This window comes from Homo sapiens, chromosome 6 (genome assembly GCF_000001405.40).
Source record: "Homo sapiens chromosome 6, GRCh38.p14 Primary Assembly".
Classification (NCBI taxonomy): Eukaryota; Metazoa; Chordata; class Mammalia; order Primates; family Hominidae; genus Homo; species Homo sapiens.
Window position 1 is genome coordinate 166,719,508 of NC_000006.12, and position 18,824 is coordinate 166,738,331.

Consider the following 18,824-nt stretch of genomic DNA (forward strand, 5'->3'; position numbering starts at 1 on the left):
TCTGCCATTTTAACTGCCTTTGAACAACACATGTCTGTGACGATGTATCTATGAAAATACATCTATTTTGCATGGTCTTCTTAAACCCCACAATGGATACTCTGAAACTAACTCAGTGTTTGATCATGTATTATTAAATGTCAAAGGAATGATTAAATGAATGCATCTCCAACTCTACTCACTTATCATTAAAACGTTCATCAACGGAGGGATAGTCAATCTCACTAGTTTCAGACTGAAAGCCGACTACTTTCGGCTCAGGAACTGCAAGGGAGCATGATCATCAGTCTTGCATTGATCCCAACAAGCATCATCCTAGTTATGCTGATTAGAGTATATCTGGGAGATCTTATAAAGAATGTTCATATTATAATTTGCAAATGCTATGTGCCAACTTTCAACCACAGTTTCCAGAAGGAATTTCATGGCAAATTTCTGAAAGAGTGGCAGCTTTGAGATATGTGGGAGAAAGAAGTTAACTCTAAACCTTTAGCTGGCTTAAATTCCCAATTCAGAAATCTTCAAGCCCCAAAATACCCTGAGTGCTATTTCTTATAATTACTATTAATAAGACTTTCACTTATGTAAGGATTCCTCATTGAAATAATTCAAGGCACACTTTTAAACAACAAAACATTGTAAAGTGGGCATCTTTGTATTAAATTCCTATTCCTATTTTATTTTAGGTAATAAGTATTCAAATTTTGGTGAACCCTATACAACAATAACTACCATTTAGTGAGCTCCTCTTATGTGCTTGGAATGCACTATTTATAAACTCATAAGTTGGGAACATCATATTAATTACATTATTCATCTTCTAAGCTCACTACAAAGAACAGGTTTCTAATCATTATAATAAATGGAGAAATATGTCACCTAAATAAAAGAATGGATGGGTGATATTGAACACAGAATATCTGCAATGCACTTCTTTTCCCCAAAGGAACCCAGGAACCCAGATGAAAATCCAAGGCTCTCTGACTGCAGAAACGGAGCTGTCAGTCACCACCTAGAAATCTCTCCCCAAAAATAAAAGTGTAAGAGAAAGAAAGGCATTATCAAAGAATCTAGGAAGTCCTTGTATGAGAAACTAGCACTAAATAATTCACTTTTTGAGATAGTTTGAACATATTTCTAACTCTAAATAAAGGGAAATACTTGGTCATAAGAAAAATGACCTCTGTGTATTAAATGTCTAGTTTGTGCCTCGCATTTTACATTCATATCATATCCTCATTATGGACAGAGTAGCCCATTCCAATCACCCTTATTTTACTCAGAAGGAAACTCCGGCACAGCGAGTTTGATTTGTGCAGAGCAGCAAGGCCGTACCTGCCTAGCTGCCACTAAATCACAGGGAGCCTAGAACCTCCCACGAAGCAGGGATGAGCTCCTGTGTTTAATCTCAGATAGTTGAGGAGAAGACGCTTTGAGAAGCTGCATGTTTAACACTAAAGGGTGATTTCACAGTTAAAAGTCATCTTACATACACTTCACAGGAAATGGAAATGACCCCACTAGTCTGTGTACCTCTTAACACCTGAGTTCACACAAGCAAGTGCTCCATCGTTACTTTACAAGGTGACTAATTTCTTAACAATTTCACGAGGATCCCTACTTGAAATCTGTCACTCAGATTGGTGTGTCTAATGAAATGGTTTAACATCAAAACATCTATGGATAAGGACAAATAACACAGGAAAGGTGGAAAGGCGGGGGACATCGGGGGTGCGACTGAGGGTCTCCTCTGCTTGGATGGGTTTCCTCAAAAGACTGCAGCCTCCAACAAGAGAGGGAAAATACCGGAGAGGCAAAGTTACATCTGACAACACTTAGAATTCATCTGACGGCCAGGACCCGGGAGCACAGGCCTAGCCCAGACACTGGGTCCTGACGTGGCCACAGCCACAGCTGAACCCCCTCCATTGCCACATCCCTCCCTTGCCAGAGATTTTACCAGATGGTGCCTAGTAAAAGAATTTTAAAACTTCTAGAAGATCAAGCTTTCCAAATGGCTCTTTCTTAACAGAAACTTTCTAGTTTCACGAACAAAATCACAGATGAACATGCTAGAGCTTCGTAAAGCTAGGCAGCTTTCCGGGCAGTGCTGGGTGATCGCAGTGGGTCTGCGTCTGGGCCCCTCCTTCTAAGACCGAGTCTCGGGGACGGGAAAGATGCACAGCTGCTTCAGGAGCATTTCACCCAGTGGGCGGGCGGCAGAGTTAGCAGAGCTGGACTTTAACAGAAGCTCCCGCCCCACCTTGCAACCTCGCTCATCAGCTCAGCTGCTTCCCCCAGGAGGTGCCAGCTCAGAGGAGGAGCCGGTGCCAGCTCAGAGGAGGAGCCGGTGCCAGCCTCGGCCCCGGATCCAGATCCTCTGACTCAAAAATAGCCTGATTCCTATCATGCTTCCTCGCCGGCAGGGATACCACCATTTGTGCAAAATGTTTAGGTACACATTTCACACATATAGACTCATTAAAATAGTCCACTTTATTTGGAATGTCATAGTGGAGTAAATATAAATACAGTAGGAAAATATAACCAGAACCAAAATATAATCAGAATATAATACAATCAGAAAAATTAGAAATATAAGCAGAATAACTCAGTAGGTAAAAGCAGTTTGCATTTTAGGAGTTGGTGAAGAAAGTGGAGTGTGACTCAGAAGGTCCAATCATCCATCCTAAATTCCAGCCCTGTGTTCCAACCCCTGCATGATTCTGCCCCAATTCAAAACCATGCTGGAACGTGAGCTTGGAGACTGGAGATCCCACACACAGAAGGAGAAGCTGAAGACGCTTAGAGTGGAAAAGCGTTTTGTAAGGCGGGTCAGACACTCAACAAAGCAGGTGAAAGTGATGGAAAAATGGAGGAGCCGCAGGGGGTGGGAGGCACAGAGGGCTCCCCTTATCTTATTGTATTTTCCCTCTTTCGGTTGTGAGGACAGTCCATCCTGGTTCTAAAATCACCGTGGCCCACGCCACGTGGAACCCACAGGGCCCACAGCCACAGAGGCTGGGGTGGCACTTCCAAGACTGGTGGCTGCAATGGGAGTGGAATGTCCACCTGGCTTTGGGTCCGTGACCCTCACTAGCCTATCCCTGGAGTTCTGTAAAAAGAAGAGCCAGGACACCTTTCTGATGGGGCTGCCCGAGCTTGTTGTGGATGCGGAGCTGTTGAATTCTCCAATCCCATTCTCTGAAACGCTTGATACACGTGCTTCTCCACGTGAAGCAAATGCCTCCCTTTTTGAGATTCGTCCTTCAGTCTACTACTTAGACTTTACCTCCAGTGACACTTCAGTTTCCATGAGCTTCAATCGCTGCATTTTCAGCCCATTCCTCTCTGCATTTCTGGAGTAATTTCGGTTACTCTTTGCACAGCTCCCTCTCCGAGTCCACAGGACTCATCACAACTCGCGAGACACCACCGCCTCCAAGGTCTGTCTGTGCCTACACTTGGCGACTATGACAACCGTTAAGCGATGCAAGGTTTGGGGCGCTGCAAGGACTTAGAGAAAAAGCTCTGTGGAGACTACAGTAAAAGAGCCCAGAATACTGTTGGAGTAAGGCCCAAGTAAAGTTGTCAACAAGTCAGGGCAGATGTACCTTAAATGGACCCCCGCCTGGTGGGAAGGCTGGGCTGGGGCTGGCAGGCTTGGGTTGCCCCTGCCTCGAACGTTTCCTAGCCCTGCCATCCTGGCTCAGTGCCCAGCCTCTTGCTCAAGTCCCCCCTTCTGGAAAGTAAAGCACTAACTTTTAAGGACCAGCTGAGGTGCCGCAGTGAAGAAGGTGGCCTAGGCCCCCCAGATGGTGTGGGAGCGACAGAACATGAATGCACTGCCTTCCTCACCCCAGGGGGGTCCCACACGTGTGCACCGCCTTCCTTACCCCTGGGGGGTCCCACACGTGTGCACTACCTTCTTCACCCCAGGGGGGTCCCACATGTATGCACCGCCTTCCTCAGCTGGTGCCAGGGGACCCCCAGTAGTACCAGGAAGGCCGTGCCAGTACATCAAAGTGGCAGCCAGGATCTAATAACAATACGTAAATACAAACAGAAGCGAGGGCACTGTTTCTCAGTTGGGTGCACTGTGATTAGAAAATAAAGTCCGAACTAACTCTATAGTTAGGAAATGACCGAATTTTTCCCTGAGTCATAATTTCCTTTTTCTTTTTTTCTTTTCTTTTCTTTTTTTTTTTTTTGAGATGGAGTCTCATTCTGTCGCCCAGGCTGGAGTGCAATGGCGCGATCTTGGCTCACTACTACCTCTGCCTCCCGGTTCAAGCGATTCTCCTGCCTCAGCCTCCTGAGTAGCTGGGATTACAGGCACGCGCCACCACGCCCAGCTAATTTTTGTATTTTTAGTAGAGATGGGGTTTCTCCATGTTGGCCAGGCTGGCCTCGAACTCCTGACCTCAGGTGATCCACTCTTCTCAGCCTCCCACAGTGCTGAGATTACAGGTGTGAGCCACTGTGCCTGGCCCCTGAGTCATAACTTAAAGTATGTTTTTGTAATATGTTTCATGGACACTTAAAAGGTAAGTATAATCTATTTTCAGGGTGTGGATTTCTCTCTTTCTCTGCATATATGTCATACACATGCACATGTATGGACATATGTATGTATGAGTATATCAAATATGCTATATTAAGTGTGTATGTGTGTGTGTATATAAATATATTTGCCTCTGATTTGTGGTATCCTAACAGCAATGAGTTAAAGTTTCCTAACTTTGTAATACTTTTTCTTCTTGTATTTTCTGCAGTTTTTGCTTCATAAATTTTGACGCTGTTACTTGATTTATGGAGGTCCACGGCAGCTAGCTCTTTGTTGTAGACTGTGCCTTTATCATTATTCTAAGGGCCCTTAACATTTCTTTGTTGAATTTAACCTTGCTTGTTATTCATATTGAAAACTGATATTAAAAAAAAAAACACCAAAATCCTTTTATACCAGACTTTTTGAGTTACTCTTTCACAGACACATTATTTAAGGTGCATTTCTTAATCCAAGTGGGTCATTTTTGCTTCTTCCCGCCATCTGAGAACTTTGTGAGGTGTGCTCACCCCACTTATGCTTTGTGACACGGCCACGGCCTCAGCTTTGTCACCATACGTCACCGCACAGGTCCTGGTTTTCCTGCCGCCTGTTTCTAATCTGTGGCCATTTGGCCTGGTTTCCTAGTCCTATGCTGAGGGTGCAGGTTCCTATTCTTTTAACGTGGACCATCTGCAACTGGTTTTAATTTAAGAGTTTTATGATCAAGACAAACATCTATTTCTTGATTCATCAGCTTTACACAGACTCCTGTCATAGCCTAGTCTGAAAGATAAACAAGTTAGCTCACGCCCTCCCCTCCTCTCCACTTGCATTTTTGGTTTATTAGATTATAATACTTAGTTTTTCCACCCATTCAATACCTTTGTATTCGACTTCTCAAGTTGAAATGCTCTCTACTAACTCTCTGCTCAGAGAGTTGAGGAAATGAAAACAGACTCTTCTCACCTCATCTTCCACTGTTCTAGCTTTTGTTATGTTCTCTTCTGAGAGCAAAAATGCCAAAGAATAATCCCACGTTCTTTGGCTTTAGTTTTATATTCAAATAGACTTTTTCTATTTTTCATGGTTTTTCCATTTATCCCTTGGTTTCCTGGACTGAGTAAAAAAAAGTCTTTTATTTTTTTTAAAGAAAGGCTTATGTTTTTATGTCACTCCATTATCTGATTTTTCTCATATTTAAAAATGTCTCAGTTTTCTTTCTCCTTGAAAACAACCTTAGCTCTGTATTAAATCCTCACAGATTATGTCACATGGTGTTTTTCTCTTTAAAAATTCCATTTGGGAACAAAATGTAAATATTATAATGACAGAGACTAGGTAGGCACATGACAGAAGGAAACTGGTCTACCAGGTGCCTCTGGTCGCCACCCCTCACCCTCCCCTTCAGCCTCCTAGCCCAGCCCAGCCTCTTTCTCCAGCCTCCGAGAGCCCACAGCAGGTGGACAGCTCCAGGCAGTCAGGGGGAGCATCCCTGGGAGCCACCTCTGTGGGTGCCTCGAAGGGAGGTGGAGGAGGTGGGGCGCACACACGGAACCAAAGGAGTGTGAAAGGACAAGGAGCTGGGTGAGCCAGTGGGGGGTGGGGTGGGCCCACGGGGAGACCCTCACTCCACCTGCCTTCTCTTCAGATGCTGGGGACGAGAGTGAAGCTCCGAGTTTCTGCTTGCACAGCTTCCTCGGGCCAGCGTGGACGTTCCCGACCTGCCCCACAGCACAGAGACTGGCTCCAGGTATGCCGGGCAGGGAGGCTCCTGGCGGCGCAGGCCCAGAGGGAAAGCAGTGTCAGCTGAGGGGTGGGGAGGAGGCAGAGGGCGCATCACTTGTGATTCCCCAGCTTTGAGAGGAGCTCACAGAGGCAGCTTTTGGGGAACCGACAGATTTACTAAATAGCACCATGCTGAATTTGAAACAGCCACGCCCCAGAAGCTGATCAGAAAAGATTGTTTTCAGGCCAAGAGTAAGATGTAAGAATGTGCTGTGAACCTTTATGATTCTGTGAAAACACGTGGCTTTTAGGTCCTACAGAAATGCCCTTAGGCTACAATATAGAAGATTTTTTTTTTTTTTTAGTTTAAAATCTTACTTCACATAACTACTTTGATAAATCTACTATTTATAAGCAAAGTCCTAGCCACGGCCATCTGATGTGGTAGAAGAATAAACTGAAAAGCAGACAGTACCTAGGACAAGGACAGACCAGAGGCTGACGGCTTGCAAGTAGATGTGGAAGATAAAGAAGTAGCAATCCTGGGGAAAGGGCTAAACTCCACTGGGGGAAAGTTCCATTCCACCTCCGATTCCTAGAGCTGCAAGCAGCAAGTTGACACAACACTTAGCAAACTCTTAGTCACCTCCCGAGAGCCCAGACCCTGTAGCAGAGGCTTCTGTCACCAATGATCATTCCCCAAGTCAGAGACATGGAAGGGAAATGAAAGAAGGACATGCATCCTGCCGCCCATGTCAGACACACGTCCCTTGCATGAAGAACTTAAGACGTTTCTGAAGTGACTCACCAACTGATCCAAAATATATAACCGTGATCACCTTAAATCACATAAACATGATCACCTTAAACAGAGAACTGGATCTCGTGTACTGATGCTGCTGGCAGCATTGGAAAGTGACTCTTACAACTTCAGTTGCGATACCGGTTTCCATAAGCTTCTGTGAATTCTTGTCAAAGCTTTAAAACTGAACACGGCAACAACTCTAGGTGAGGAGTGTTTGGCAGATGAAACCCCTCCACCAGGGAGGTGACGGGTCTCAGGGAGTGTGTCTGGCGGGTGGGGAGGAATCCCAGGCCTGGAATCTACCGTCCTGGGTGCTGTCTCCTCCACCACGTAAGCCAAACCTGATTTCCGTGAAGAATTTCCCACTTGCACTCATGAAGACATGGCCATTCCCAGGTATCTAGGTGTTCCTCCACTGATCAGAAACTTACACGACTTTATCAGAAGCACTCTGAGATGGACACTGCTGTGTTCGTTCACCAGGACCACATATCCCAACAGTTCCCCATAACCTGGGGGTGGTTTCTCCTGAGGGCATTTATATAATTAGCAGCTAGCATCCTCTTTTTCAGGTAGCTCATAAAGACCTGGTCCAACAACAAAACACACCTCACATGTCGTTCAACAGGCCATGGAATCATTCTGCTGATGTGTGAAAGAATTGAAAGTAATGCAGTTTACATCATATTATTATATCGCATCTTATAATTATAGATCATACTTAAACAAACAAACACACACACACACACACACACACACACACAGCTGTAATGCAATATATGCTGTAATGTGTTACCAGTTCCTGAGGTTTGGAAGATGGGTCATGAAGGTTGTGATGCCTGGTGGCAGTGCTGCTCCTAAAACAACACCAGGGCCAGCACCCAGAACATCAGCACCCTCAGGTATCAGCACCCTAAGCACCGGCACTGTAATGTGCCAGCACCCTAAGGTACCAGAATCCTCAGGGACGGCACCCAAAGCCACCAGCCCCCTAAGGTACAGCACCCTAAGCACCGGCACTCTAATGTACCAGCACCCTAAGGCACCAGCATCCTGAACACCCTCAGGTATCAGCGCCCTAAAGCACCAGCACCCTAAGTCACCAGCACCCTAAAATATCAGCACCTTAAGGCACCAGCAGCCTAAACTATCAGCAACCTAATGTGGCCCCCTGGCCTGGTGCAGTGCTGCTAGATAAAGGGGTCAGGAATTGTCAAGAGGTAAAGCCACAGTTTGTAAAAAACAGCAGCTTGCAAAGCTGAAAATCAAAGGCCAGACTACAGCTTCAGGAGCCGAGCACCAGTGACCCTCTGATAGGGGTTTGCCACCCATGAATTCAACCAACTGAGGACCAAAAATATTTGGGAATAAAACCAGATGGTCATGTCCATACTAAACAGACTTTTTCCCTTGTCATCATTCCCTAAACAATATGGTATAGCAACTATTTCCATAGCACTTACCTTGCATTGGGTATTATAAGTAATCTAGAGATAATTACAGAATACAGAAGGATGTGCTTAGGCCATGTGGAAATACCATGCCATTTTATAGGAGGGACTTGAGCAGTGCAAATTTTGGTGTCGACAGAGGTCCTGGAACCAGATGCAGAGGGGTGGCTGTACTGGGGTGGGTGCTCATCTGTACGAATGGGGCGGACTGGCCAGGGTGATTCAGAACAACGTTCCCAGGCCCAGTCACTCATCAGATCCCTGCCCCTCATGGCAGAGACCCAGGTTCCACGTGGTGTGGGCAATTCCCATGACCTGGACGCAGGGGTCCCCCGGGGTCTCGTGAGCTTCCAGGGTAAGAAACTGCTGTCCCAGGGAGCGTTGCAGTGGATAAAAAAGAGTCACCCATGGGTACATGACAAGCCTATTCTTCTCTCTTCCAGTTTGGGCCCCTTTACTCTGGTCTCTGAGCCACGTTTCTGCAGTGCCCAGGGAAAGAGTGGACGGCTTCCTTCAGCTGACTCAGAGAAGCCCTCCTCCCCGTCAGCCAGACTCACACCCTCCAGCACACAATCCAGACAAATTGCTTGACCAGAGGAAGCTGGAAATTATTAGTGTTGTCTTGATTTTACAATAGAATCTGTGGAATGTAGGATCAATACCACGTGCTTACTTTCTCACTTCTAAAAAACGGTATGGTCTCGACGCATACAGATCAGCTCTTGCTTTACAGCTGGAGAGAGCTGGGCATGGGGACTGCCTGGAGGGGTCGGGCACCCGCCAGGCAGGTCTCATGTGGGTGATGTCCACGACATTCTTGGAAACAATCATTTTAGTGTGCTAAAACTGGCATTTCTCAACCTGTGAGGTGTAGCTGCATCCCTCCTTTGGTTTACTTTACTTCAGCATTTACTTGGTGTGCTGCCCTTCACTAGCCAGACAGACCAAAGGAGGAAGTGACTGCTGCAAAAAGTGACCACAGGCTGACACATGGAGTGCTCCCCTGCGGAAGGGCCACCCCACAGCAGGTGTGCCAGCATGCTCTTCCCTCTCATCGCTCCCTCTAGCCCTCCTGCCAGGGCTGCTGAGTAGGGGGTAGCCTAGGCAGAGCGTGAAACAAGATTGACATCCATCGGCCAGACAACCCCTTCCAGCTGTCACCTCTGCTGCCCATTCACAGAGCAAGCAGTCGAGGGCCCTTCATGGCTGCCTACAAGCCCTGGTGCAGGGAACGCACACTGCCTCAGGCAAACAGAGCCAGCCACAGGGAGTGAGACATCAAAGTCACCTGCCATTGCTCAGGATGTTATTTCTTTCTCTTTCTGTGTGTGATGGGGTCTCACTCTGTCACCCAGACTGGAGTGCAGTGGTGCAATCACGGCTCACTGCAGCTTCCACCTCCTGGGGCTCAGATGATCCTCTCACCTCAGCCTCCTGAGTAGCTGAGACCACAGGTATGCACCACTATACCCAGCTAATTTTTTTGCAGAGATGGAATTTTGCCATGTTGCCCAAGCTGGTCTTGAACTCCTGGGCTCGAGCAGTCTGCCCACCTTGGCCTCCCAAACTGTTGGGATTACAGACATAAGCCACCACACTCACCCTGAAACATTTATCTTGAAGGTCTAAGAAAGCAATGTTTTCCTCTAACGTAACTTGATTCTGTTCTCTCGGCTTTTCTTGAAATGTCTGGATCGTTCAATGCAACCAAGAAACTTCCCATGCTGTTAGTAAGGGCCATATATTTCCCTGATCAAAGTACTAGTTTTCTTATTTATATTCCCCTGTAACATAGTGTGTGATAACCCTGGACACCCACTTCCTGTGTGTGACGAAATTCAAGGGCCCTTCTCATCAGGTTTGACTGCCAGGTTGTCTAAATGGGCTTCCCATGAGGAGAAGCAATCCCACTGCAGGAGGGTTTTTCTCCACCTTTTTTCGTAACTGGTCTAAAGAAATAAAGATTTTATGTTTCATCAAGATAATTTTCTGTGTTGCCTTTATTAGATTTTCTGATTGCTTGGAAAAACTGAGCTTTAGAAGGATTAAGATTCTCACATGCATGTAACTTTCTATATTGCTTTTGAAGTCTTTGATCATCACTCTGGTTAACTGAATAACTGTTATTTTACAGTGACTTGTGATTCTGTCTCGCTCAACTGTTTTGAATCTTTTGATATCTTTGGCACATTTCTCCAGAACTTTTATCTGGTAAACTGTATGGGAGGCATTGTCAAATGATAAATTATATGGGAACTTCTTTAGTTTGGTTTATGAGTTATGGACATTTATGAGTATGTTATTGATATAAATATTCTAAAAGTTATATAAATTCATAAAAATATGTCATCAGTCATAATTTTGATGTTGTTAAATGTTTTATAAAATTATGTGGATGTTATTGTGAATATTCTGATGATTATATGAAATTTGCAAAAGTCTAATGATCCTGACATGACACTGTCATTCATAATTCTGGTTGTTACCTTAGAATGCTGCGTGTCATAGAACCAACTAAATTTTCTTGTCAATTGAAAATTTTCATCAAATTTTAACCATGGCTAGTCTAAGTTTTTGTCATTCACAGCTTTTATTCTAAATTCTTCTCTATAAACATTTGAAATCAGCTCTAGTCCAAAAGTGCTTTTCATGAAAAAGACTCTAATAAATATAGGTACAAAAAGAGAAAAAAATAGTACAATTAATCAAAGAATACGCAAATTTATGTTCTGGTTTTGTTAAATGGTTATCATGTTTATTTTCCCCCAATCTGGGAAACTCATTTTGATGCTGTTAAGTATGTGCTGCTATGAAGAATCTGTAGTATCCGGGTAGTCATCCGGTTGAGGTGGTTTGTTAGGTGCAGGAAAGGCAACATTAGAAAAAAATCTCAGATCATGATAATTAAAAAATAGATGTCATCCGCCGGGTGCAGTGGCTCTTGCCTGTAATCCCAGCACTTTGGGAGGCCGAGGCGGGCGGATCACCTGAGGTCGGGCGTTTGAGACCAGCCTGACCAACATGGTGAAACCCCATCTCTACTAAAAATACAAAATTAGCCGGGCGTGCTGGCGCATGCCTGTAATCCCAGCTACTCGGGAGGTTGGGGCAGGACAATTGCTTGAACCCGGGAGGTGGAGGTTGCGGTGAGCCGAGATTGCGCCATTGCACTCCAGTCTGGGCAACAAGAGCAAAACTCCGTCTCAAAAAAAAGAAAAAAGAAAAAAGCCATCCAAAGTGTGTTTTCCAATGAAGAGGCAAGTATGTTCGTTGGGCCCTACATTTATTCCTTGCAACTACAGCTAGAAGCTGCCGACTGCCCTAGTAAAGATCCCCCTAGCCATTAGAGACAATCAGCATTGGTCTTGTAAATGCAACCAAGTAGCTGATTTATGATTAAAAGGGGGAAGGAGGGGCGTGGTGGGGGCGGGGCAAGGAACTTGTGAGACAAAGTAACAAATGTCGGAAGCCATGTCTGTTTCTTTCTGCTTGCCAACAGCACTTCAGAAAACCCCTGATTCTGTAATGACCTCTAGCTCTCCAGAAAGATGCTTTGAAGACAAAGCAGGACAGAGCACACAGCCCCCGGCATCTCCTGCTTGAGTCGCTCCATTCCTCAGGAGGTAAATGACCCTGGCCTTGCCTTTTCCTACACACAACCTCTGATGAGGTTAGCCGCAATGCTTCTGTAATCTGCGACCAGATGTACACTTACGCCCAAACCTGGATGTGAATTTGCACGGACTGAAGCTCCACCACCTAGATAGAAGTGGTGGGTGGAAACCCTGTGTGGGGCGGTCCCATGGAACCTCTCTAAAGGACTCCCCCGGGGCCATCACCTCAGTCTACAGTCCTCAGCAAAGCTCCTGAATAAAACTAACTTTAATTATTTAAAAGCCTGATTTGTTCTTTAGTCAGCATTATTTAATAAATATTCTTTCAAAGTACAAAAGTAGATGGAAAGGCCTCATAGAAATTTTTTATTAGTGGTGGCTACTGAGGAGACGGGAAGGGATGGGATTGGGGAGAAATAACAAAACTGGAATACCTTTTCCAGAGACCTTAATTCCTTTTTCTTTTCCTTTTTGTTTTACCAATAAATAAATAAATAACCAAGAAAAATACTTTAATACAATGTGCCAAAAACAGTAACATCAACCTGGATGCTGGGAACCTGGCATCTGTTAAAGTCTTCCCGCACTTCTGTATAGCTTCATGATTCCCCCAAAATAGACTGATAAAAATACAATTTAGAAGTATGTCTTTCCATTGGGATGAAGCATTCTCAGAAATATCTCAGAAAAGTCCACCATGAAGCCAGTGGCACATGGGGTCTGATTATTGGAGGCTGTTGGAGAGAGCTGGGTCACCAAGCCGCACAGCCCAGGCCTTGATATTTGCCTGTCCACCTGGAGGGATGTGACTTCCATCAGGCTACAAACATCCTGGGACAGTGAACCGGGAATCACTGAACCTTATCACATGGGCTTGCTATGGGAGTTCACATGATTTGAAAAACAGATGCCCACTCCAAGTCCATTCAACAGCCATCCACTGCATCCAGACTGTTGAATCTTCAACCAGCATCAAAGAAAGGAGCCGCCTTTGCAGGGATTGCTGTCTAGGGGATGGAAGCGCAAAGAAGCTCGGAGCTCCCACAGATGATGTTAGGTGCAGAGATGGGGGTGCACCCAGGGCACAGCACAGGGGCCCGGTCAGAGCCTCTTCCTACCAGAGGTGATGACAGGGGGATGACAGGGGGAGCTGTGAAGGCCACCGGAGGCTGAGTCTGGTGGAAGGAGGCAGGGAACAGCCAAAGTGAAGGCTGCTCTGGTTCAAGTTGGTGTTCAAATAAAAGTAAGTCACAACAAAACAAAAGACCTGAAGTGAAGCCTGCTGGCTTAGAGGAAATGAGGAACCGGAGCGGCTGGGGTGCAGGGTGGGAGGCAGGGGTGCACACTTATGCATTTGCCCAGTTTTGCATCGGATTTCTGGAGGTTTGGGACCCTCTTTGCAGAAGCTTTCACGAGCCTAAGGGTGAGATGCTCTGCCCCCTGTGGATCGAGCCTACCCTGTACTCAGGGCCATGCCAAACCATTGCACATCATTTTGAGCCTTCAGAACATGATATCAAATTATACTTGGATGTCACATTATCGGCCAGAATGGGAGTACTTTTGAAAGCCTAATAGCCTTAGGCTGCAAGAGTCCTGTGGACGGCACTGTTCCCAAAGTCACAGACCCTTTATGGACATGCAGGACTGATGCCGCCACTGTCAGTAACAGCAGTGGTGTTGGCCGTCTTGATCAGTTTATTATGTCTTGGAACTCATCCTTGAATTAATTGGAATGTTCTTTTGCATTGTCGTCCAGGAAATTTAGAGGCCAACGAGGGCAGGATCTACTCCCAAAAAGACATAGGGACCCTTACAGTACGAGTTTTGGGTACTAACCCCATGGCTGACCTTTCTGATCTTTCCTCATTCGGATCTTATATTCCTTCTTCTCATCTCATTTTCTTCGTCTGATAATCTTAATTTTATCTTGTAGCATGTATGTATGGAAGCCAGTGCCAGTCTCTTTAGGAAAAAGGTTTGGTAACACGGAGGTCACTAGCATCCCTCGTGGACAGTTTCCATGGAATGTCCCAGGCACAGGTCACATTTCAGCGGGTTCCGGAGCTCACTCTAAGTGGGGAAGTGGAGGCTGCCCTGGTAGGTGCCATCCCTAAACTGTTTGGGAGAGAAGAGGAAGAGAGAAGTAAAAGGAAGGTTTCTGCGTTTTTCTGTTTATAAAGCGGATATGAGCAGGTTTACAGGCTGAACAGAGTAAACCAATAGAAAGAGAAATGGTAAAATGAAAAACTGAGATTTCTAAGGAAACTGTAGGGTGTGGAGTAGGATCACTGCTAGGGTGTGGGAACAGAGGACTGAGGGGTGTTGACCTCCAAAAGCAAAGGTGCATGCAAGCGAAGGGACATTGGTAAGAGGGAGGCAGGAAGTTGAGGTAAGCTGATAGATTGCTTCAATTTTCCCCAACAATAGGATATGAGATCACCTGTTTAGAGGTTGGGACAGGCCCTGAGGGGAGAGAGGAAAGTTAGGTATGGCCCCTGAGGGGCAAGGGGGCCGAGGGCTCCTGGCAGGAGCTTAGGATTCATGGCTAGCAGCAATTCTCACTCTTCTTACTAGTTTATAACTCCCATTAGCAGAACCCGAGCACTCTTGCCTCGTATACCTGTTTCTCTCCTTAGCAGGGGTCTAAGATGTTGACATCGACCCTTTGGAGTAAGGGTTTATACTGACATGAATTCTCAACTCAAGATTTTCTCCCTAAGGGCCACCTACCCAAACGGAAGAGCAATAGGTCCTCTTTTCCATATTCAGGTGCTAGGAAATAAACGTAAGCTATCAGCAAGCCATCACCATCTTACCATCCAATGGTATATAATTACTCTGTGCTCACAAGCAGCGGCTGATATTGGTGAAGTAATTAGGAGGTTCCCGGCAATCATTTCTTTCATGTCCCAATTAAGACACTCAGCCATTGTTCATTAGGGGTGTTAAGAAAGTCAATGAATTTAAGCACAGGTCTGTGGGGCCTGAAGCACTGCAAGAGTCACTGGGGGCGTGCTGATTTTCCCTGTGACAATGTGCCTTATTCAACATGAGAGGGAGCGTGTGTGGCTGAGGCTGGCATACCTAAGACCATGGAACTGGTGCTAAGCAGTGCCCTGCTTTATTTATAAATCACTTCCTCCTTTGGGGGTACTTAAATATTTTATAAATTTGTCTCATAAAATGTTAAACATCCTCACCTTTACCATGACAGTGTTTTCACATACAGAATGAGAAAATATCACAGATTTTGAAAGTTCCTATCCTCTTGTTATGGCAATCAGTGAAACATTATTCAGTCAGAAAGAAGTCTCAGTTTAGAAACTGTAAACCTTTATGTCTATAGCCTTGCACTGCCACTGAATTTAGATCCAATTTCTGAATTATATCATTCACAAAAAGACCATCTTGGATTAAGTTTCCATCAAACTTGGAGAACTCTGAGAAGGCCCTAAGCGTGTCCATGCTGGAGAAGCTTTGGCAGGATAAGAAGAGCTGGAAGGGGCATCCTCCTGCCCAGCCACTCCGCTTCAGGCTGTGCTGCAGAGAAACTTCTGCACCCATCAACAAGGAAATATGTTTATAGCAATTATTTGCAAAAGCAAACAACGTGACACAAAACAAAACAAAAAACTGAAACAACGTGAACATCTATAGTAGGAATTGACAATACTCTCATGGCGGACTAGTCTCCATTTAGGGCAGCAGTCCCCAATCTTTTTGGCACCAGGGACTGGTTTTGTGGCAGATAATTTTCCATGGATGAGGGTGGGGGACAGTTTCAGGATGATTCAAGCACATGACATTTATTGTGTACTTTATTCCTATCCTTATTACACTGTAATATATCATGAAATAATTATAGAACTCACCATCATGTAGAATCAGTGGGAGTCCTAAGCTTGTTTTCCCGCAACTAAACGGTCTCATGTGGGGGTGATGGGAGATGGTGACAGATCATCGGGCATTAGATTCTCAGGAGCATGCAACCTAGATCCCTCGTGTGCACAGTTCACAATAGGGTTCAAGTTCCTATGAGAATCTAATGCTGCTGCTGACCTGATAGGAGGCAGAGCTCAGGCGATAATGCAACTGATGGGAAGCAGCTGTCAATACAGATGAAGCTTCGCTCACTCACCTGCCACTCACCTCCTGCTGTGTGGCCTAGTTCCTAACAGGACATGGTCTGTGGCCGAGGGGTTGAGGACTCCTGATTTAGGAAAACACTACAACAGACAGCTCTGAAAAGCTTCGTAAGAAAGAGGCAGCACACTGGGTGATTTATAGGTACAAATATGATCCAACTGAATAATGTACTCATTGTTAAAAATAGGTGTAGGTTCCCAAGTGATAAAGACCATGGTAAAATTTCTGGAACAGTCAGACCCCTCGACCAATGCAGAACAGCTGATTTTCTAGTTATTTATCACCTAAGTAAGGCTGAACATATACAAGTAAGTTGGACATAAAATCTACTTGTGTGATATTATCTGTTTCAACATCAGAAAATTATTGGGGCTTACAGAGCTGAGGACATTTGGACTTTATGTCTTACATGACAGAGTTGAAGTTATTTGTCTCAAAGTATATTCAATCCACTGGGTCATTTTGTTCTGCTCTTTCTTGGATGCTACTTCAAAGCAGTGATCTCCACTGAGATTTTCTCAAGAGTCCCGTGGCATCATTCTGTACAGCAGGGGCACACCGTAACTGTGTGTTGCCTGAAGACTATTCTCAGGTGATTTTCACATTAACCCTTTACTTCTGCCACCTTGCTATTTGCCACTTAGTGTCATTAACAGATTGGATTCCATAATGCTCCCCATGTCCTTTTCTTCCTATTCCTTTTGATTTCTCCAGTAAAATATATCCAAACTCAATGGAAGGTCACAAAATATCAAGATTCCATGTCTTAGGGAAAGTGAAGATCATTCCATTTTTTTTCCTGGCAACAAAAAACCCACTCCAAAGTGTGCAAAACTCTAAGATACCATCCACAGTTCATCCTGTCCAGACAGCGGGCCTGCATCCATGAGGCTGGCCGAGGGTCGCCACCCACCCCGCCCTGAAAGCTCTATGGCCTGTGTCAGTGTATCAGGAAGTGAGCTCTCCTCTCAGCTGGAAGCAGGAAGACCAGAGAGGCTGACTAATGATGGGAATTTCAGAGGGAGCCCGAGAAGCCTTTCTCTTCCAGTTGTAAAGTTCATGAATCACCATCCAGCTGCCAGTCATGATGGCAAGAGGAAATGAAAACAGAATATCTCCTAGCAGAATTGACAAAATGGGAAAATCCCTGAAGACATGTACTCCCAGAACCATAACCGATGCAGGGGGTGGGGAGGGAGGGGCTGGGAGGGGAGAAAAGGGGGCAGGAAGGGAAAGAGAGCGGCAAAGCGCATGGAGCCTACGCTTTTTTACAGACGCAAAAAGATAGATGCACATTCTTTGTCAACTGTCACAAACGAGGTCCTTGATTTTCAATTTCCTGCAATCCTGGCTAAGAGACACAATTTTTAAGACATTCCTCATCAGTTGCCAAATATTGATTATTCTCTGTTTAGTCTACAATGAACCAGATCACACTTGTAATATTATTTAGAAGCAAATAAATCTGCAAGGCTATTGGCGTCTCTCCCTAATAAATCGTGTGGCTGCCATGACCCTTCACCCCAGCGGCAGCCTGGTGTGATAATTGGTAGGTAACCAGTTTGCTTTTCACTCTAAAAAGTGCTTAATTGTCTCCCTTAGATTTGTAGGCATGCATAGCCAGACACCTCGAGAAATGACGCACGCCTTACTCATTTATAATCAGCATCAAGCAGACAGTGAAAAATCTATAAATTAGAGATAAGCATCACACTCCAGAGGCATTAAAGAGAATTCTAAACGTCTCCTTTGCAAATTGTTCAATTAAAAACAGAATGAGCTTTTTCACAGGAAACTACTACTGACTCCTTTTAAGCTTCTAAGACATTCACTGAGGGGCCCCTCCCAGCTTTCCAGGCTAACGTCCGGATAATCCCCCCAGGTACCTGGGCCATGGATCTAACTCCTGTGATGCTATAAAGGACTCTGGTGACGGTTCTGAACTTGACAAATGCCGTACCCAAAATAGTATATTCCCTGTTTAGACGAACTCTAAATTAAACTCAAATCCCTTTGGTTATTTTTAAATCTGTATTAGTTATTTTCTCATAAACAGAAATAACTTTGATTATGAAACGAAGCTATTTCTCATTGTGAAAGAAATAAAACATACAGAAAAGTATACAAAGTAAAATAAAAATGTCATGCCATCGCTCAGAGAGAATCCTTTTAATATTGTTTACATCCTCCTAGAATTTATATGCATTCATACCATATTGTATTCATTTTTAAATTAAAGTACTATTTTTGCTATATTACTGTCCCATGACCTGCCTTTTGCATTTAGTACATGTGGATATTTCTTCCCTATCAATGAACATATTGAATGCTAGTATTTTATTGTTAAATATTCCAATCCTGTATGAATGTACACATAGGTTATCTCCAGTTCATTATTATTATTTTAAATAAAATGACAGAAAGAGTAATTATAACTCAAACAGTCCTGAAAGCCACTGTTTTGGAGGAAGTCCTCCAACATTTGGAAACCCATCCAGTGAATTCCCCAGTTGGTTACCCAGTGGTCTGGA

The 18,824-nt window shown here is 44.8% G+C and overlaps 1 protein-coding gene across 6 annotated transcripts in view, besides 1 other annotated feature; it reads right to left on the minus strand.

Annotated features, from left to right (window-relative positions):
* The window catches only part of RPS6KA2 (ribosomal protein S6 kinase A2), a 453,410-nt gene that overhangs the window by 310,144 nt on the left and 124,442 nt on the right, over positions 1-18,824 (minus strand). The window lies entirely within an intron of this gene.
* Positions 16,725-17,924: an enhancer, noted in NCBI's record as "P300/CBP strongly-dependent group 1 enhancer chr6:167149720-167150919 (GRCh37/hg19 assembly coordinates)". NCBI's record gives its function as "activates an origin of replication core promoter dependent on BRD2, BRD4, P300/CBP, MED14 and CDK7 cofactors, with strong dependence on P300/CBP, by STARR-seq in HCT116 cells {active_cell/tissue: HCT116}" and the evidence as "EXISTENCE:reporter gene assay evidence [ECO:0000049][PMID:35650434]".